The sequence below is a fragment of the Homo sapiens genome, chromosome 5 (genome assembly GCF_000001405.40).
Source record: "Homo sapiens chromosome 5, GRCh38.p14 Primary Assembly".
NCBI classification, from domain to species: Eukaryota; Metazoa; Chordata; class Mammalia; order Primates; family Hominidae; genus Homo; species Homo sapiens.
This window is the reverse complement of record NC_000005.10, coordinates 32,038,534-32,060,350: the sequence shown is the minus strand read 5'-3', so window position 1 is coordinate 32,060,350 and position 21,817 is coordinate 32,038,534. Positions and strand designations below refer to the sequence as shown.

At 45.3% G+C, this 21,817-nt stretch overlaps 1 protein-coding gene across 8 annotated transcripts in view, besides 1 other annotated feature; it reads right to left on the bottom strand.

The window, feature by feature from the left end:
- PDZD2 (PDZ domain containing 2) overlaps positions 1-21,817 on the bottom strand; it is a 471,802-nt gene that overhangs the window by 50,582 nt on the left and 399,403 nt on the right. For all 8 annotated transcript variants that reach the window (XM_005248269.5, NM_178140.4, XM_011513992.3 and 5 more), the window contains 6 exons: positions 11,667-11,812; positions 7,621-7,740; positions 6,468-6,582; positions 2,623-2,696; positions 2,248-2,473; positions 995-1,112 (listed from right to left, as the gene is read on the bottom strand). In XM_005248269.5, the coding sequence (XP_005248326.1) occupies positions 995-1,112; positions 2,248-2,473; positions 2,623-2,696; positions 6,468-6,582; positions 7,621-7,740; positions 11,667-11,812 (799 nt within the window). The remainder of the gene's footprint in view (positions 1-994; positions 1,113-2,247; positions 2,474-2,622; positions 2,697-6,467; positions 6,583-7,620; positions 7,741-11,666; positions 11,813-21,817) is intronic.
- Positions 18,442-18,974: an enhancer, noted in NCBI's record as "NANOG hESC enhancer chr5:32041483-32042015 (GRCh37/hg19 assembly coordinates)". NCBI's record gives its function as "activates a minimal SCP1, AML or CMV promoter by ChIP-STARR-seq in primed H9 embryonic stem cells {active_cell/tissue: H9 hESC(primed)}" and the evidence as "EXISTENCE:reporter gene assay evidence [ECO:0000049][PMID:30033119]".

Genomic DNA, 21,817 nt, shown 5'->3' with positions numbered 1-21,817 from the left:
AACAAAGACTCTTTATATGGGATTTGAAGAATGTTCATTTGGCAGGCTCCAGACATATGGAATCATTCAAGAAAGAAACATCATCTTGGGATGTCATTAAAGGATTTTTTTCCTTGGGTTCTAAAAGTATATTTTCTTTAATGTACTTTGGATGATTTGCTAAATTTTTTTTCATATGGAAATTTACTCTAATGATTAACTAAAAACATAATATAAGCTATTAACAGGGCCCCAAAATGGCAACCTCAATGAATGCCATTTTGACAATCCCTTAACCACTAAAGGACTTGGAAGTTTACAGGGCAGAAAGATGAAACTGTTAGCACAGGGTGCTTTGTGCAATACACGTACATTCTTGTGACGTTTAGGTGGGCACTGACTCACTGCAATTTCTATATAATAGAACACCTAGATATTTCTTGTGTAAACAGAACGCCCATGTTACAACTCAACTATCTGGATTAAGAAATCAGACACTCAGTGACTTCAGTAAGTAGACACCTAGACATGGCCATTCAACAAGGAATGAAAATGACAGGAAAAGTTTGAGAGAATACTTAATAAGAAATGCCTCCTATTCAAGGGCACAATTTCAGGACTGTTTGGCATCAAGTGATTCTGAACCATTTCAGCAGTTCCAGTATTTCATATGAATTTTATATATGTGAATATAAAATGAAAGAAAATATTGAGCTAATCATAGATATCTGTATAGAGTTGTATCTTGTCAAGTTTCTGAAACTGGACTTCTGAGACCAAATAGAACAAAATAAGCAGGGAAGCCAAGATCTAGAGTTCTCAAATTCAACCAAATTTCATTTATATTAACATTTACATTTTTGGAGATGCTATTAATTGTAGTCTTGGCTACGTTCTTGGAAAGAATTCAAAGCTTCAACATCCCTCAAAGGGAAGTAATAGAACAAATATCACACGTGTATATTTCATATTTATGAACACTCCAGAACCTTACACTATCAGGCAAACAACAAACCTCAGGTTGCTCTCCATCTTGGCCACTGATCCTGGAGCAAGGCTGTGAATGTAGATGCCAGGAGGACTGTTTTCCAGAGCCAAGCAGCAGGCACCAATGCCTAATCCAACTCTTGGCTCTGTGAGAGGCACCATTCAAAGAAAATAAAAACAAAAATTACACAATCACTAGAAAAAATGTGTAACTGATTTGAAACAGAATTAATATCTATTCAGACCAATAACCATTTATTTCTGGTCCAGACTCAGAATGTAAATCCAGCTTTTCCTTGTCAACACTTGCCACTGCTGTTAATAGAATGAGCCCATGGCTAACCTGGGAGCTAGTTACGGACTGAATTATCCGACGGTCAACTCTCTGCTTAGTCTAACTAACCTCCTCACATCTGTTTTTAGAAATAGGCAGGCTATAAGTAACGTTTTTATTCTAGGTACACAAACTCAAGCTTTCTTTTGCTTTTCTTTTTAACACATAATCTCTTGGTTGTTTAATCTTCCATCATGTTTCTAGAGTAGGTGGGGAGGAAAAAGAAACAGGGATGAAAAGCAGTAAGATTTGGTGATCACGCATGAATTCTAGTTACTAGTGTTAACTGTACACTTAACTATAATCTTTTGTTCTTTAAAATTTTATATTAGCCCCAGACTTAAGCTCACCGGTGAATTTTTTTTTTTTTTTTTTTGAGACGGAGTTTTGCTCTTGTTGCCCAGGCTAGAGTGCAGTGGCACGATCTCGGCTCACTGCAACCTCTGCCTCCCGGGTTCGAGCGATTGTCTTGCCTCAGCCTCCCGAGTAGCTGGGATTACAGGCGCTTGCCACCACGCCCAGCTAATTTTTTTTTTTTATTTTTAGTAGAAACGGGGTTTCGCCATGTTGGGGAGGCTGGTCTCAAACTCCTGACCTCAGGTGATCTACCTGCCTCGGCTTCCCAAAGTGCTAGGATTACAGACATGAGCCACTGTGCCTGGCCAGTGATTTTTTTTTTTTTTTTTTTAAACACAAGCCTCTGACCCACAGTGATTCATGGGGAGAGCTTAGAGAGCTCCATGCTACTGGTAACTTCCCTTCACTTTGACTAAAGTGACTAACATCTCTCTACCTGACCTCACTGTCCCATGCAGAGACCACGTGTTGTTGATAGAAGATTGTACCAAAGGAATAATTCATAGAACAACAAGGAAGAATTAAGCTAACAACAGATTCCAAAATGTTATTCAAGAAATGAGACAAAGGTAAGGAATAGCTGCTATCACCTTTGTTGAGTGTTACTTCCATGACGATCCTGTCCTTGGGCCCAGGGGTCTTCCGACCCAGGGATGAAGAACTGCCTTCATCGGAACCTCCCGCTGAGGCTCCCCCACTGGTATTGAAGTTCGGGGAGGCGGATCTGCTCATGTGTGTGGGTGTCGAGCAGGGTGTGAGGCTGGGGCTCACCAACTTTGTGCGTACCGTTAAAACAAATAATCCACTCCGGATTTGCTGAGAAAACAGTGAGGAAAGGTGGGCTGAAACATTTGGAATGTCCTTATATCAAAGGGTTAAAAAAAAAAAACAACTCACCAAACCCAAGCCAGAAGGAAATAAAGAAAGGAAAATAGGATAAAGGAGATCAATAAGAATGTTGTTACCTTAAAGGTATGAATGGCTTCTTGAAATGTCAAGCCCTTTATTGGTATTCCATTTACATCTAGGATTTCATCCCCTAGTGATCAAATGTGAGAATTACATTAACATTAGCCTTTAATTTCCTGGAATTTAACTGCTCAGTCAGACTTATTTTGGGATACCATATGGTCCCTGATTTACTACCACATAAAATAACTTTTATTGTTTAGCTTAGCTCCCAGGAATGTCACAAAATGGGACAATTAATGACAACACATATTCTTTTGCAGTAATTCTGTATTTCAATCTTCAATTAAAATAACTATGGGAAGCATGAAAATCTTATTTTTTTAGCCATTGCCAAGTTTGACAACAGATGTCCTATGTTTCGAAATCAAACTGCAGAAATCTAGTTCAAAGGCGTTCCTCATAGTCATTGTTTAAAAACTTAAACCCACTGGCAATGAGGCATGAACACATACAACATTTGAGAAGTCACTCCTATATTTGTAGAAAGACAAGTTCCCCAAGCACAGAGAATCAGCATGGTGTATGGAAAATGGCTTTAATGATAACAAAAACTTGCTAAAATATTACTGAGCAATGGCAGCCCAGAAACAGTCTTTTTTTTACTAAAAAAAAATTTTTTTTTGAAACAGAGTATTGCTCTGGCTCAGTCACCCAGGCTAGAGTGCGGTGGCGTGACCTCAGCTCACTACAACCTCTGCCTCCCAGGTTCAAACTATTCTCATGCCTCAGCCTCCTGAATAGCTGGGAATACAGGTGCACGCCACCATATATGGCTAATTTTTTTTTGTATCTTTAGTAGAGACAGGGTTTCACCATGTTGGCCAGGCTGGTCTTGAACTCCTGGCCTTGAGTGATCTGCCCGCCTCGGCTTCCCAAAGTGCGGGGATTACAGGTGTGAGCTACTGCTCCCGGCCCAAAAATAATCTTGCTGATGCAGTTCCAGGTTCTCTGTCAGTAAGCTGGCAAGTTTACTATAAGCTTCTATCTCAGAGATGACTGCAGGGTCATGTTAATTTGCCAGGCATGTGCAGGAATATGCTCGCACATGGCCCCCTGCCCCAGCTCTCCTATTATTTTTAACTCTAAGGCGGCACAGTCAGGTCGTTTTTCAAGCTGTTGATAGCGTCTGCTAGGAATATAAAAGAACTTGGACATCCTGTTGACTTATCAGAGCTCGTTTCTGGTTTGCACTCTTGTGACATGGCCTGCTTTTTTGGAATAACAGTTCATCAAAAACACTACAAAGATGCCCCAGAGAGAAGAACAGATGAACTTTGCACAGCATTGCTGTAGAGAAGAGGGACTCTGTACGCCTATAAGAAAGTGCAAAGCAGCATAAGAACACACATTGTCACCTCTCGCAGACAGCCAATCCCAGGAGCACACTGTGTGCACAATTCAAGGAATCCTGTAGATGAGTTACAAAAATGTAGCTGTGCCCCATGCATTTGTTATGTGGCTTCCCCTTAATGCAATTATAGAAGCTATAAAATAAGTGAAGTAATCTCTGTTTAAAAATCTGGCATAACCAATTACTCAATTAGGTGAGGAGGTGGATGTTTTTAGGTTGTTTCCATAGGGGAAAAGGAGCAAATATTAAAATGATTACTCGCACTCTTAAAATGTATGCAAAGTTTTTTAAAGAAGTATCACTCAACAGGTTGAAATCCATTCCAATGACTTACGTTTCTTGTAAATGAACACATATGAAAAAACGCTATTTAGGAGAATCAAGTGCTATTAACCTTTCTTAACTATTGATTTTTTTTCCCCGTTTTGCTCCATTTTACCAGCCTTGCAGGATGAGTTTCAATTAAGTGAACACATGGCACATCCATTATAAAAATGCTCTGTTAGAATTTTATATTGTTCTAAAACTCAACACAAACACCACCTGGGAGTTAACCCTTCCTCTAAGAGACAGAAATAAATATTCTGCCGTGGGAGAATGAAGCCTGGTCATGTCTTATTGTTAGCATACAGGGTTCGATGGTTGCTCTGCCTAAAAAATAGGAGATTCCAATTCATTCTCATCAGTTCCAAAAAAAGAACCCGTATAACACAAAAGCACCTGAAGTTTAGGTCAATTGAACTGAACAGTCACAGCATTTTTGAAGATAACTAAAAATATTCTACTTTAAATATTTCAAGAAGGAAGTATATTAATAAGTGAGAGGAAAAAATCGGGATTCATGCTCTGGTGAATGCTATTTAAAATATGTGCAGGCTAGGTGCTGTAGCTTAGGCCTGTAATCCTAGCACTTTGGGAGGCAGAGGTGGGACATTCACTTGAGGCCAGGAGTTCGAGATCAGCCTGGGTAACATAGTGAGACTCCATCTCTTAAAAAAAAATTTAGCTGGGCACAGTGGTGCACACCTGTGGTCCTGGCTACTTGGGAAGCTTAGGCAGGAGGATCCCTTGTGCCCAGGAGTTTGAGGCTGCAGTGAACTATGATCACACCACTGCACTCCAGCCTGGATGACAGAGCAAGACCCTGCCTCTTAAAGTACAATAAAATAAATATATATATGTATATACCTGTGTGTGTGTTCAGAACTTCTGGGCAATTCTTCTTTATAAAAAGTATATAATCTTAATCCAGATAAACATTTCACAGAAAATATAAAGATATGTATATCTATTCTAGATATTCTATCAAAAGCAGCTATTGTGTCTGTACAGAAAGGAAACTTTGGCCTATTTATATTTTATTTTCTCAAGTAAGGTGGGAAAGTGAATTGAACTTGGAATCACAAAGCTGGGTTTAAATTTCACTTCTGCTCTTTACTAAGGATGGGACAAGTTTCTAGTCACTTAACATTTCTGAGTGTCACTTTTCTGTTTCTAAGATGGTCACTCCAAAATGCCAATTTGACAAGTTTGCAAGGCAGTTAGTGAAATAATTGAATATGTGGAATTGCTTTTTAAGTGTTTAAAGCACTATAAAATGATATATTTAAACATTAAAAAAATTATTTGCAAGGTAGAACTTGGCACCTCAATATTACTTTAATTTGCATTCAGAAGCACTTGTCTAGTATATTCGCATATGGCAAAATGGCAGGTGCTATTGAGAATTAAAAGATGTTCATTTAGGGCCAGACACAGTGGCTCATGCCTGTAATCCTAGCACTTTGTGAGGTTGAGGTGGGCGAATCACTTGAACCCAGGTGTTTGAGACCAGCCTGGGCAACATGGTGGAACCTCGTCTCTACAAAAATATACAAAAATTAGCCAGGCATGACGGTGTGCACCTATAGTCCCAGCTACTCACGAAGCTGAGGTGGGAGGATCACCTGAGCCCAGGGGGTTGAGGCTGCAGTGAGCCATGATCATGCCACTGCACTCCAGCCTGGGTGATAGATTGAGACCCTGTCTCATTAAAAAAAAAAAAAAAAAAAAAAAAAAGATGTTCATTTAGGAACCAGACTATGTGGTGGTTGATTTCTGTAGCAAGATATTAAATATCCACTAATGACCAGGCGCTCTGCTTCCACACCAGCCCTAAGGTAAGAATGGACCCCAAACTCTCAAAATTTTCAGGGAAAGGAACATGATCAGACCAAGTTGACAAGATAGACACTAAAGACCCCAACAGAAGTATTAAGCCACTTTCCACATATTATCTCATGTAATCCTGACAACGACTCTTCAAGGCAGGTGTTAATATTCCAAGTTTACAACTAGGGAAAGTGAAGCTCAGGTTACACTGACTATGCCAGGCAGATTCCGCCGAGGTCTACTAGGTACTGTGGCATTCACTCACATCTTGTGAAGAGGCAGATTCTCATGGGATCAAAGTCACTGTCACTGAGGATACAAGAGGCTTTCCCCTACCTTCTTTAAGTCTTCCGTCCTCTGCAGCTGATCCATTTGGGAAGATGGTCTTGACAAAAATCCCCATCTGTCCACGAATGCAGTCTCGACCTCCAGCAATACTAAAGCCAAGGCCCTAGATCCGAAGCAGATGAGAGTCCAGGTTGACAGTGTGGTATTTAACTGAGGGCATCTTTCCCATTGTAGTATTTAACTGAAGGCATCTGTCCCATTGTAGTATTTAACTGAAGTGCCCTCCCTAACCAGGCCTGGAGTTAAACTAAGCAACTAGCTGCAAACTCAAGTTTGTGTTCTCTTCCTTATTCCCCTCCTCCGATCTATTTACGCTGCACTAGCCATGCATTACATTAAGGGAAAAAGTTTTAGGCAGAAACATACCAAATTGCCAATATTTGACAATCTTTGACCTCCACAAATGGCAATTTCATATGGATCCACTAAATAGCTCTTAAGAGTCATTTCCCACTTACATGCAGGTGCCACATTTGTTTTCTTTTGTTTTAGTCTTTCCATTTTGTATAATATCAAAATGAATATTTTGATTTTTGTGTAATGTCAAGTTATTCATATCATTTCCTTTATGATAATGGCAACGCCATGAAATTCATTCAAAAGGATAACCAAGGGTACTCCCTGAAGCTGCAGGCTCTGCTTTTCTTTCACTGGAGGTAAAAGTTGAGGGTCATTCATTGCACCCTTGGTTCTGGCCCTAGCAGCCAAGTGCTGGTGACTCCTTACATCGTAGGAGCAAAGAGGGCATGGCCATCTCACACTGAGACCTATGGTACAGAATGCCAGGGAATCCACTTGAATCCATACAGAGGCCACTTTAGCGGTCCTTCTTTATACCTGTTACTTTTCATTTCATGTAAAGACAAATAAAAAGTAACCATTTAAAGAACATGTGTGGCTGGGTGCAATGGCTCATGCCTATAATCTCAGTGCTTTGGGAAGTCGAGGTGGGAGCACTGCTTGAGCCCAGGAGTTTAAGACTGCAGTGAGCCATGATTGCACCACTGCACTCCGGCCTGGGCAACAGAGCAAGAACCTGTTTCTAAAAACAAAAACACAAAAACAAATAAAATAAAATAAAACAAAAAATGTGTGCTAAGATTCACCCAGAAGGCAGAACAGTCTGCAGAAAAGAGCTCACCTTGCCTTTTTCTTTGTACAACCCAATGATCGAGATGACGGATGGCCGAATGAGCCTCCAAGGAGATTCCACCTGAGTCGTGCTTAAGGAGCGGGTAGACTTCTTCACAATGTGGTATTCCTAAAAGTCAGCACACGGCAAGGTCAGAGATTACTCTCATTTGTTCTATTGTGGTATCTGGCAGAAAAATACACTCAGACTTTGAAAATCTTAGATGTCTTCAGTACTAGACATTTCTCTCTGGTTCAGTGACTTAAAAAAGTTTCCTATAAATACTATCGCAGGTGCTGGGCACCGTGGCTCATGCCTGTAATCCCAGCACTTTGGGAGGCCAAGGCAGGTGGGTCACCTGAGGTCAGGAGTTTGAGACCAGCCTAGCCAACGTGGTGAAACCCCGGCTCTAATAAAAATACAAAAATTAGCTGGGTGTGGTGGTGGATGCCTGCAGTCCCAGCTACTCAGGAGGCTGAGGCAGGACAATCGCTTGAACCTGGGAGGTGGAGGTTGCAGTGAGCAGAGATTGTGCCACTGCACTCCAGCCTGGGCAACAGAGTGAGACTCCGTCTCAAAAAAACTATCGGAAGAATAGCCCCTACTACAACAGATTGCCATGACTTCTTCCCCCACATAAAGAACTGCTTGGGGATCTTAAGCACCTTGTGTTGCTCTTTCCTTGACCTCATTCCACAGATTCTACATCTGGAATGGAGTCAGGAAGCAGAAACAAGAGGCCTCAGTGATACAGGATGACCACCTGTGGTCGGGCTTTCCCTTGGTAGTCACCCCTGCCTCCATCCCAAGTTCACCATCATGGTTAGAAAGTATCTTGCCATTTTAAGCCTAACTCACTCGATCAAAAACTCAGCAAGCCCTTGTTTCTTATAAAACCCAAACCACAAACCCAGACAACTGTTATTCCACATAAAACATCCCGCTGAGAGACGGCAGCAGCTTCAGTTCTCATCTCTCACATTTGGAAAATAAAGTATTTTCCCATAATGAGCCACACTTTCCCTTCCTGACACGCAGCAGCTCCAATCTCACCCCTTTTTTGTGTCCATCACCCATAATATACACGCGTGTAAGCAGGCTGCGCTCCTTAGAACATAAAGAGATCAAATGACTCTATCACCAAAGCACTTCTATAATCTTGCTCCTTGCTATTCTTCTTAGAATAATAAACTTCTTCACTGATGCAGATATTCTACCTAAGCCAAAAAAATCACTTTATGTTTAATATGAGAAAAGAGACATCGCAAAACAGTTTTATCCTGAATCTCTGTGTATACTACATTCAAACACAAAAATTAGATGTCCCCAGTGATATTTTTGTATTTTTGGCAGCTTAGAACAATTATTATTATTTCTTTTTTGCGGTTTTACAAAATATCTGCCAACAATGTTGGCCTCCCAGACTTTCAATCATTAAAAAAAATGATGTGGGCTTGGCAAGGTTACTGCCCTTTTAATGAAACCATTGCAGTGATGGCCAAACATCGCCTGGGTTTTTCAGTCCTTGAATACGGAGGTTTGTGTGTGAACTCCTAAGGGAACTCTTTCTCTGGTCACCATCTTCAGCAGTACTTCACTCCATCTCTCTTTTGGGAACCAGAAGGAACCAAAGGCCTGTAGGCTTCACCAACCTCTCAGAGAGTTTCCAGGATCTCCTTGAACTTTCTAGACCCGTGCTGTCTAACATGGTAGCCACTTGCCACCTGTAGGTATCTATATTAAAATTAATTAAAATTAAAAATACACCCCCCACTAGCCACTTTTCATGTGCTCAGTAGACATATACGGCTACCATATTGGACGATACAAATAAAAAACATCTCCATCATTGCTGAAAGTTTTACTGGAGAGGTCAAATCTAGATAATACTTATTTATTTATTTTATTTGTTTATTTAAGACAGAGTCTCTCACTCTATCACCTAGGCTGGAATTCAGTGGCGTGATCACAGCTCACTGCAGTCTTGACCTCCTGGGCTCAAGCGATCCTCCCACCTCAGCCTCCCAAGTAACTGGGAACACAGGTATGCACGACCATACCCAGCTAATTAAAAAATTTGTTTTCGTAAAGATAAGGTCTTGCCATGTTGCCCAGGCTGGTCTTGAACTTGGGCTCAGGCAATTCTCTCACCTTGGCCTCCCAAAGTGCTGGGATTACGGGCATGATCCTGGTTGTAGATAATACTTTATAGTGGAGGGAGAGAGACAAAGAAAAAAGAAAGATGAATCCTGGGAGAAAAAGGGCAGAAAATAAAAAGAGGAGACAAAAGAAAGGACAGTTTTCTTGAAAAGAGAGGGAAAAACTCTCCTTTCAAACTTTCTACCCTGGCCTGGGCTTCCCGATCCCTGAAGTGTGGTTAAAAATGGATGTTTCTGGGCTACAAATGCTGTCGGGTTTCCTCAGCAGGTCAGTTAAGAAATTACCTCAACGCTCGATCTGTGGCCATGATGGCTGTAAACCCTCTCTCATCTTTCACACAGCCTGACAAGGCCGGGCACGGTGGCTCACGCCTGTAATCCCAGCACTTTGGGAGGCCGAGGCAGGTGGATCACTTGAGGTCAGGAGTTTGAGACCAGCCTGGCCAACATGATGAAACCCCGTCTCTACTAAAAATACAAAAATGAGCTGGGTGTGGTGGCACACACCTGTAATCCCAGGTACTTGAGAGGCTGAGGCAGAACTGCTTGATCCCGGGAAGTGGAGGTTGCAGTGAGCCAAGGTCGCACCACTGAACTCTAGCCTGGGCAACAGAGTGAGACTCAGTCTCAAAAAATAAAAAATAGAACGACTGACAGGCCATCTTCCAATGTTCTGATCTCCCCTGACTCTGTGGGTCCAACAGGACCATTCTGAGCAGGTCGCAGTCCTGGGCCTGGACAAGTTTGACTGGTCCCATGCCAGTTTTTTCTCTGCTTTTACTCAATGCCCCAATGCCCCTCAAGTTGCCTTTGGGTGAATTCAACCCAAAATGGGCTGATGAGCAATTGTCCCTGAAACATGGGCACTTGTTATTCTCCTGGTCAGATAAAGGGCATCGGAAGCAACAGAAATACTTTATCCTGACACATAATTGACTGATTCGAGCACCTTTAAAGCTTTACAGAGGTTCTGGCATATCACCTTGGGCAAAATACTTAACCCCTTTGAGATTCAGTTGCTCCATCTGTAAATGGGTCATAACACACCAAAAGTAAGGGCCTGCCTCAGATGCCCTGACCCAGGTCCTTTAGAACTCTACCCTCTACAGCTTTCCAAGCATGTGTGGAGGTCGTTGCTGCCACGCCCGTCCTCTATCTCTGCTTCATCATAGGGCTGGGGACAAGCTGCTAACGGTTCCTCTTGAGCCCCTTGGTTAGTGGTGCCAGGACTCAAAGAATACCCCACAGGTTTCTCAGGGACTGAGCCTGCCTTAGCCTTGGTTAGGAGACCACCTGACCGGTTTCTACCAGGTTGAGGATGCTGAGATGGAGGAGCGGCCCTCATGCAGGGCTGTGGAGTCCGGATCTCAGACGGGAGCAGGTTCTGTAACATCAACTTGAGCAGCTAGTGCAGCCCCCCTCTACAGCCCCCCATGACCTTGGCTGCTTGAGTCATTACTGTGTAACAGGTAGGACTCCAGGTGAGCCATGGATGCATGTACAGGCACACACGCACACTCCCTCTCTCATACATGTGCCCATACCCACCCACAGTTGTTACACTGATACAGGCTGCTCCTATTAATCGAGCAGTGCTGGTTCACCACAGACTATGAGACGCCATCGTCTCCTGGCAATTGAAAGCACCTCTAGGTTCCAAAACACACAGTAGGAAGGAGATGAACATTTTGAGATCCAATGAGGGATTTTCCCCCCACTATTTTCAAGTATTAGGCTGACTTCTTTGTAGCCTCTCTGGGTAGACCTCACTTTGCCTGCTGTCTCTCTCTATCCCACTTCTCTAGCCCCAGACACTCCTGGCCTGTATGGATGGGCAGTTCTTCTTAACATGTAAGCCCTTATGGTCTTTGAAAAGATCCACAGCCCTGGTCGGACCTGTGAGGCACTGGAAGAGTCCAGCAGCTGCGGGAGGGAGTGTTTCCGGCCATCTCGGGAGACCTCCAACATCCGGATCCGGGGGTCCCCATTCCGCACCATCAGCTCGTTATATTCTTCAACTGACTCAAGGCGGTGTACACCCCCTTGAGAAAACAGAGGAGAAAACATAGTTTGATATGGGACAAAAAGAATCGTAAGCACATCCAGAGGCATAAACTCATTGTATTTACACCCACCTTCATGGTTTTGAGAAGCCTAGCGTCCAATACACTCAAAGCACAGAGCCTAGCCCATCCTAATAGCAATCTCTGCATAAGCTAGTTACGTGCTGAAGCCATTAGTGTCAGGCTACGAAAAAACTGCCAGTTTTTGAAATGACCAGATTAGATGAGGGGCAATGTAAATGTGTGTTCCCAATAAGATGTAGCTCTGGTGGATAAGGGAATAGTGAGAAGGCTATTAGAATTTTTCCTGATGATGGAGGAATATCATTTTGTGATTGGTATAGTTTCATTGTTGGTGCAGATGTTTTTTTTCCAAGTATAGGCACGACTTTTAAAATAAACTTTTGATTAAAGTATAACAACTTACAGAAATGTGCACAACTCATAAATACACAGTTCAATGAAATTTCATATACCCATAACCAAAACCTAGATCAAGAAGCAGAATATTAACCAGAACCTCAAAAACACCCTTTGTGCTACTAACCATCCTTCACCCAAGGGTAACCATTATCCCAGCTTTTAACATTACAGATTACTTTTATCTGTTTTTAATTTTACATCAATGAATACACACAACACATGCTTTTTGTCTGGCTCCTGTTCTTAGCATTTGTTTATGAGATTCAACCACGGTATTGCATGCCAATAGCCTGTTCATCCCCATTCTGTAGGCTATTCCGTTGTCTAAACACATTCTGTTGTCTAAACATACCACAATTTACTTATCCATTCTATTGTTGGTGGACATTTGGCTTGTGTCTCCAGTTTTAGATCTAGAACAAGGGTCAGCAAAGATTTTTGGCAACACTTTTTGGTATGTTCACTTCTTTTGGTAAAGAGTTGGCAAGCTTTTTGCCATGTTTTTAGGTTTTGTGGGCCACAAATGGCCTTTGTTGCGTATTCTTTTTCTTCTTCTTTTTCTTAACAACCCACTAAAAATGTAGAAAGCATTTCTAGCTTGTGAGCCCTACAAACAAAGCTGTGGACTAGAGCTTGCTGAACCTTGATCTAGAATATCCCATTACTAAATATTCTCTCACATGTCATTAGATATCACCTAGGAGTGGAGTCTCTGGGCTACACTACAAGCATCTGTCCAGCTTTACCCATGCTGTTTCACCAGCACAGGGAAGTTCTAGAATCTCCACATCTTTGTCACACTGGGCAGTGTCAGTCTTTAATTTTGGCTATTCTGGAAAATATGACGGTATTCATTTGTTTTTTTTAAATTGCATTTCACTGATGACTAACGAGATCAAGATTCTTTTCATACATTCATTGGCTGTGTTCCTTTCGTAAAGTTGTAAAGTGCCTGAACAAGTCTTTTGCCCATTTTAAAATTGGATGTCTTTCTTATCGATTTATAGGCATTTTTATTTATTTATTTATTTATTGGTGTTTTCTTTTTATTTTTTTGAGATGGAGTCTCTCTGTTGCCCAGGCTGGAGTGCAGTGGCGCAATTTGCTCACTGCAACCTCCACCTCCCAGGTTCAAGTGATTCTCCTGCCTCAGTTTCCCGAGTAGCTGGGATTACAGGTGCACGCCACCACGCCCAGCTAATTTTTTTATTTTTAGTAGAGATGGGGTTTCACCATGTTGGCCAGGCTGGTCTTGAACTCCTAACTTCAGGTGGTCTACCTGCCTTGGCCTCCCAAAATGCTGGGATTACAGGCATGAGCCATTGCGCCTGGCCCATTTTTTCAAATTTTTAATGTAATTTGAATAAGGGTCTTTTATGGGATCTATGGATTGTAAATATCTTCTCCGTGTCTACGCTTTGCCTGTTCACTGTCTTAATGTATATTTTGAAAAAACAGTTCAAAATTTTAATGTAGTACAGTACGTCTTTTTAAAAACTTCATGGTTTAAAATTTTGTGTTCTTTTAAAGATACTTCTATAGTAACAATTTAGGCTGGGTGCGGTGGCTCATGCCTGTAATCCCAGCACTTTGAGAGGCCGAGGTGGGCCGATCGCCTGAGCTCAGGAATTCGAGACTGCACTGGGCAACATGGTGAAACCCTATCTCTATTAAAATACAAAAAATTAGCTAGGTGTGGTGGGGTGCACCTGTAGTCCCAGCTACTCAGGAGGCTGAGGCCAGAGAATTGCTTGAACCCAGGAGGCTGAGGTTGCAGTGACCTGAGATCGCAACACTGCACTTCAGCTTGGGTTACACTGTGAGAGACTGTCTCAAAAAAACAAAAACAAAAACAAAACTTCTATAGTAACAATTTTAAAGACTTTATCAATACCTAGTCTATATTATGTTATTTTAAAATAATTTAAGGGACATTAATCTTAAGTGATGTATCAACTACATATGAATATAGCTATAATCATATTACAATGTTTATATGATATACAATACCTATCTGCGTGTGTACATGTATATACATATGTGTTTGTGTGTATATACAGATTCCTCATATATCAAGTTCATCACCTAGACTAGGTAATGTTTCATCTGATTACCTAAAATTTCAATTTACCTAAATATTACTCTGAAAGTTTTGCACTGAATAAAACAAGATTATTGTTTTAAAAAGTATTGATGAGTTATTAAAAGTGATAGAAAGTGGGAAGAAAGCTGATACAGTCATATGGCAATGAATGCCATTAAAGGTTTGTTTTTTTTTTAAAGTTAAATATTTATTTTGTGATACAGGTTTTTAAACATATGAAATTGATTTGCAATCAAGACAAATTTTGTTCTTAAAAAGATCATAGGCTGGGCGCGGTGACTCACACCTATAATCCTAGCACTTTGGGAGGCTGAGGCAGGTGGATCACAAGGTCATGAGATCGAGACCATCCTGGCCAACATGGTGAAACCCTATCTCTACTAAAAATACAAAAAAAAAAAACAGCTGGGCGTGGTGGTATATGTGCCTGTAGTCCCAGCTACACGGGAGGCTGAGGCATGAGAATCGCTTGAATCCAGAAGGGGAGGTTGCAGTGAGTTGAGATCACGCCACCGCACTCCAGCCTGGGCAACAGAGCAAGATTCCGTCTTGGGAAAAAAAAAAAAAGAAAGATCACAAATCTAAGATATTAACATAGATAAACTGAAAGTACCAAAATTAAAAGGAAACTCTGCTGACAAAAAAGGGGTATGAAGTAAGGAAAACCCAGGTTAGAATATCAGAAAAATGTTCCATGAAATGAGAGATGATGTTGCTTTAGCCATTTTGGAGCCAGTCTGGGCAAAACCTTAGTGGAAAGAGTTGGAACCTCTACAGGAGCTCTTTAATAATTCATGACTTAATACTAACTCAGGACCAGATTAATCTCTCTTGGCATGCTTACTCATCTGAAAAAGATTTATTAGTAGAAAATTCCTTTTGAGCTGACAGGGAGGCACTTGTCATCAACAGAAGAGAAACCACATACAGTAGCATCTATGCTGATATGTGGATACCAGAGTGATTCATTTTAAGAAAACATGAACTAAATATCCAAGTTTACAGGACAAATTAAGAGCTGATCACATTAAAAATCTGCATGTAAATATCTTTAGAATGAACATATTTCACAGCACTGAATCAAAGCCCAATTCCTTAAGCCTCTTTAATGTGTCTCTAAATTACTTTTCCAGACTTATCTTCCACTATCCACTCTATTCGCTGATCTATCCTGATGCTTGTCAAAGGAGAGATCTGTCCTCTTCTTTCCAAAACTGCGGAGCATGTAAATATCACGTGAAGTTTTACCCAACTTTCCCTGCACCATCATCTCCCACCCAAAAATTCTGCTATGTCCGTTTCCCTAATGACTCTGACAAACTCTGTTGGACTGAAGCATTGCGACTGTCAGAGTCTCTTGGCTTTTTCAAGTGGCTGGGGAGGAAAAGCAGCTGCCAAAAACGTATTGAATTAATTTTTTTCCCATTATCCCTAAGCATCTCTCATTCATTTTGTCCTAAGTCTAGACCGCTGTCCCCTGCTTCCAGTCTACCAAATTCCCCCAGCATACTGCCTCTCTTTATCTTGCATCCTTGAGATCCAGACAGACTTCCACTCCCTGTACCTCTCGTATGTGCCTCATGGTGCCCGTCACTGTGTGTATGTGTGTACTACCTCCCACTGGGACTATAAGCTCTTTAGAAGGCCTTCTGGTTTTTTTTAAGACGGAGTTCTGCTGGTGTTGCCCGGGCTGCAGTGCAGTGGCACAATATCAGCTCACTGAAACCTCCGCTTCCTGGGTTCAAGCGATTCTCCTGTCTCAGCCTCCCGAGTAGCTGCAATTACAGGTACCTGCCGCCATGCCCAGCTGATTTTTGTATTTTTAGTAGAGATGAGGTTTCACCGTGTTGGCCAGGCTGGTCTCGAACTCCTGACCTCAGGTGATCCGCCCACCTCAGCCTCCCAAAGTGCTGGGATTATAGGCATGAGCCACCAAGCCCAGCCTAGAAGGCCTTCCTGTCTGAACCCATTCAAACCCATTCTTCCTCTCTTGAGATGGAAGGAGAACAATAAGAATGAAAATAAAAATGACAATGAACATAATATTAATGATGAGAGTGGTTAGGTCGTGCACGGTGGCTCACATCTGATATCCCAGCACTTTGGGAGGCCAAGGCAGGTGGATCACTTTAGGTCAGGAGTTTGAGACCAGCCTGGCCAACGCAGTGAAACCCCGTCTCTACTAAAAATACAAAATTAGCCAGGCGTGGTAGCCTGCGCGTGTAGTCTCAGCTACTCAAGAGGCTGAGGCGCGAGAATCACTTGTACCTGGGAGGCGGAGGTTGTGGTGAGCTGAGATCACACCACCGTGCTCCAGCCTGGGAGACAAGAACAAAATTCCATCTCAAAAAGAAAAAGAAAAAGAAAATGACAGTGGTAATAACAGTGGCAGCCGCCTCATGGCGAGGGCTTTTTGCTGCCACACCATGGAGTGGTAGTGCCATATGCATTCTTCCAAAGCAACCTTTCAACAAGGCACAGCACCTAGAAGGCACTCATGTTTATTGGCAAAATAAATACAGAACATAACCCTCATTTTACGGATAAAGAAACTGAGATCCAAGAAAGTCACCTGACCCAGGTCATGTAACCAGAGGTGGTGGATGTGGGAACCGACCCTGTTCTGCTGGATTCCTGCATATGCTTCCTCCTCCATGCTACGTTTCCTTGTTGTGGCCTTGAATGTCTGGGAAGGACACAGGAGGAGAGGGTGGCATCCATTTGTGGCAAACAGTGGCCAGCCCTGGAATAGCTACTCAGCCAAATATGCCACTTGTTCTGAATTAAGTAGTAGGAGCAGAGTCAGAGTATCACACATCTGGGAGGCCCTCCAGCGCCCCCTCCCCATATCTGTATTGATAAAGCCCCAGATCGGAGAACAGAATTCTTTTCAAGATTCCCTGGAATAGAATTCTTTTCAAGATTCCCCAGAAGCCAAAGGGCAGGGAAGGAGAATTCTGTCTGGGAGGCAGATCTTTTTCCCGGCATTGACTGAGTGACCTTTGGGATTCTCTGAACTTCTCTGGTCTCATCCATAAAATGAGGAATGTGACCTCGCTGGTTTCAGAGGCCCCTGTATTTCCTCAGAGTTCTGGGCACCTCCCTGGGAGCCCTTTATAAGGTCCTGAACAACTCTGCCAAGATGGACAACAGGAAGGCCTCCTCTGTGCCCTTGTGACTCCCTCGCCCCAAACACAAAGGCCTTAAATGACTTTCTCTTTGTTCTTCCTCAGGGCTGGAAGGGGCTGGTCACCGGCTCCCTTCAGACTTCTCCTTTTCAGCCTCTGGTCATCACCACTCCTTTCGGTCCCCAATCCATGTTGTAACTCGTTCAAGCGTAACACCGCCTAATTATTCTGAGTCATGAGCACAAAATAACTCATTCTGTCAATCACATTCTTTTTTTTCTTTTTCTTTTTAAGATGGAGTCTGGCTCTGTTGCCCAGCTGGAAAGCAGTGGCGCAATCTTGGTTCACTGCAACCTCTGCCTCCTGGGTTCAAGTGATTCTCCTGCCTCAGGTTCCCGAGTAGCTGGGATTATAGGCGCATGCCACCACACCCAACTAATTTTTTTTTTTTTTTTGTATTTTTAGTAGAGATGGGGTTTTGCCATGTTGACCAGGCTCGTCTCGAACTCCTGACCTCAGGTGATCCACCCGCCTCGGCCTCCCAAAGTGCTGGGATTACAGGCGTGAGCCACCATGCCCGGCCAGATGTTTTTTTTTTTTTTAGACAGAGTCTCACTCTGTCGCCCAGGCTGGAGTGCAGTGGTGCAATCTCGGCTCACTGCAAGCTCCGCCTCCTGGATTCATGCCATTCTCCTGCCTCAGCCTCCCGAGTAGCTGGGATTATAGGTGCCTGCCACCATGCCCAGCTAATTTTTTTGTTTTTGTATTTTTAGTAGAGACAGGGTTTCACCGTGTTAGCCAGGATGGTCTCGATCTCCTGAGGGTTTCACCGTGTTAGCCAGGATGGTCTCGATCTCCTGACCTCGTGAGCCGCCCACCTCGGCCTCCCAAAGTGCTGGGATTACAGGCGTGAGCCACCGAGCCCGGCAATTGATGTTTTTTTTTTTTTTTTTTGCTTTCTTTTTCAAATTTATTTACCTATAGTTTTGTTGTTGTTGTTGTTGTTGTTGTTGTTTTAGTATTTATTGATTATTCTTGGGTGTTTCTCGGAGAGGGGGATGTGGCAGGGTCACAGGATAATAGTGGAGAGAAGGTCAGCAGATAAACACGTGAACAAAGGTCTCTGGTTTTCCTAGGCAGAGGTCCCTGTGGCCTTCCGCAGTGTTTGTGTCCCTGGGTACTTGAGATTAGGGAGTGGTGATGACTCTTAACGAGCATGCTGCCTTCAAGCATTTGTTTAACAACAAAGCACATCTTGCACCGCCCTTAATCCATTTAACCCTGAGTTGACACAGCACATGTTTCAGAGAGCACGGGGTTGGGGGTAAGGTTAAAGATTAACAGCATCCCAAGGCAGAAGAATTTTTCTTAGTACAGAACAAAATGGAGTCTCCTATGTCTACTTCTTTCTACACAGACACAGTAAAAATCTGATCTCTCTTTTCCCCACGTTTCCCCCTTTTCTTGATGACAAAACTGCCATCGTCATCATGGCCCGTTCTCGATGGTCGCTGTCTCTTCGGAGCTGTTGGGTACACCTCCCAGATGGGGCAGCCGGGCAGAGATGCTCCTCACTTCCCAGACGGGGCGGCCAGGCAGAGGCGCTCCTCGCTTCCCAGACGATGGGCGGCCGGGCAGAGGCGCTCCCCACCTCCCAGACGGGGCGGCCGGGCAGAGGCGCTCCCCACTTCCCAGACGGGGCGGCCGGGCAGAGGCGCTCCCCACTTCCCAGACGGGGCGGCCGGGCAGAGGCGCTCCCCGCTTCCTAGATGGGGCGGCCGGACAGAGGCGCTCCCCACTTCCCAGACGGGGCGGCTGCTGGGCAGAGGCGCCCCTCACCTCCCAGACGGGGCGGCCGGGCAGAGACGCCCCTCACCTCCCAGACGGGGTGGCCAGGCAGAGGCGCTCCCCATTTCCCAGATGGGGTGGCAGCCGGGCAGAGGTGCTCCTCACATCCCAGACAGGGCGGCCAGGCAGAGGCGCTCTTCACTTCCCAGACGGGGCGGCCGGGCAGAGGCGCTCCTCGCTTCCTAGACAGGGCGGCTGGGCAGAGGTGCTCCCCACTTCCCAGACGGGGTGGCGGCCGGGCAGAGGCACTCCTCACTTCCTCCCAGACGGGGCGGCTGGGCAGAGGCGCTTCTCACTTCCTAGACAGGGCAGCCAGGCAGAGGCTCTCCCCACTTCCCAGATGGGGTGGCAGCCAGGCGGAGGTGCTCCTCACTTCCTCCCAGACGGGGCGGCCGGGCAGAGGCGCTCCCCATTTCCCAGATGGGGTGGCAGGGCAGAGGCGCTCCTCATCTCCCAGACGGGGCAGCCGGGCAGAGGCGCTCCTCATCTCCCAGACGGGGCAGCCGGGCAGAGGCGCTCCCCATTTCCCAGATGGGGCGGCAGGGCAGAGGCGCTCCTCACATCGCAGACGATGGGCAGTCCGGCAGAGACGCTCCTCACTTCCTAGACAGGGTGGCGGCCGGGCAGACGCACTCCTCACTTCCTAGACGGGGCGGCCAGGCAGAGGGGCTCCTCACTTCCTAGACAGGGCAGCTGGGCAGAGGCGCCCCCCACTTCCCAGACGGGGTGGTGGCCGTGCAGAGGCGCTCCTCACATCCCAGACGGGGCAGCCGGGCAGAGGCTCTCCTCACTTCCCAGATGGGGCGGCAGGGCAGAAGCGCTCCTCATCTCCCAGATGGGGCAGCCGGGCAGAGGCACTCCTCACTTCCTCCTAGACTGGGCGGCCAGGCAGAGGTGCTCCTCATTTCCCAGATGGGGTGGCAGGGCAGAAGCGCTCCTCATCTCCCAGATGGGGCGGCCGGGCAGAGGCACTCCTCACTTCCTCCTAGACTGGGCGGCCAGGCAGAGGCGCTCCTCATTTCCCAGATGGGGCGGCCAGGCAGTGGCGCTCCTCACTTCCCATTCGGGCAGCTGGGCAGAGGCGCTCCTCACTTCCTCCCAGATGGGGCCGCCGGGCAGAGGCGCTCCTCACTTCCTCCCAGATGGGGCAGCCGGGCAGAGGCGCTCCTCACTTCCCAGATGGGGCGGCCAGGCAGAGGCGCTCCTCACATCCCAGACGATGGGCAGTCCGGCAGAGACGCTCCTCACTTCCTAGACGGGGTGGCGGCCGGGCAGAGGCACTCCTCACTTCCCAGACGGGGCGGCCGGGCAGAGGCGCTCCTCACATCCCAGACGATGGGCGGCCAGGCAGAGGCTCACTTCCTAGACAGGTTGGCGGCCGGGCAGAGGTGCTCCTCACTTCCCAGACGGGGTGGCCGGGCAGAGGGGCTCCTCACATCCCAGACGATGGGTGGCCAGGCAGAGACGCTGCTCACTTCTTAAGACGGGGTGGCGGGCGGGCAGAGGCTGTAATCTTAGCACTTTGGGAGGCCAAGGCAGGCGGCTGGGAGGTGGAGGTTGTAGCGAGCTGAGATTACGCCACTGCATTCCAGCCTGGGCAACATTGAGCATTGAGTGAGCGAGACTCCGTCTGCAATCCCAGCACCTGGGGAGGCCGAGGCGGGCAGATCACCTGAGGCCAGGAGCTGGAGACCAGCCCGGTCAACGCGGCGAAACCCCGTCTCCACCAAAAATACAAAAACCAATCAGGAGTGGGGGCGCAGTGCCTGGAATCCCAGGCACTCGGCAGGCCGAGGCAGAAGAATCACGGGAGCCTGAGGCAGGGAGGTTGCAGCGAGCCGAGATCATGGCAGTACAGTCCAGGCTCGGCAAGAGAGGGAGACCGTAGAAAGGAGAGAGGGAGAGGGGGAGAGGGGGAGAGAGAGGATGTTTTCTTAAAAACAGGTATTTCACCGTCTTAAACCTGCCATCTTTCTGAGAATAAACTTGGAGCAGTGCGGGCATGCCCTCTCCACCAATCTGGGTGGCCGGAAGGGGACGTGAATGTTTTTTGAACGTTAACGTACTACACATTGTGCTAAATGCTTTAATGTGCATTTCTTAAAAATCTGCTCAGCCTTTCAAAGTCAGGGTGTTCTCCTCTTTTTTCAGGTGAGGGAGTGGAAGTTCAGGGAGATTAAATCATTAGCCTACAGTCACAAGGTAACTCAGGAGCTGAGGGCTAAACCTAGTTCTGCCAGGCTTCAAAACTCTTGCTTTTCCTGCCATACCAGATGACTGTTGTAGGGGGAGCCACGGCTGACTTTCCCACTAAGCCAGCAGGCACAGTGCTGAGGGCCCATGCCACCTTCAGGGACCCATAAAAGTGTTTCCTTTTAAATATCTTTTTAAATAAGCAGAAAAAAAAATAAACGTAATAGTAATGAATAGACACTAATGAATCCAGCTGTATCTTTTGTTTTTTTGTTTTTTGTTATTTTG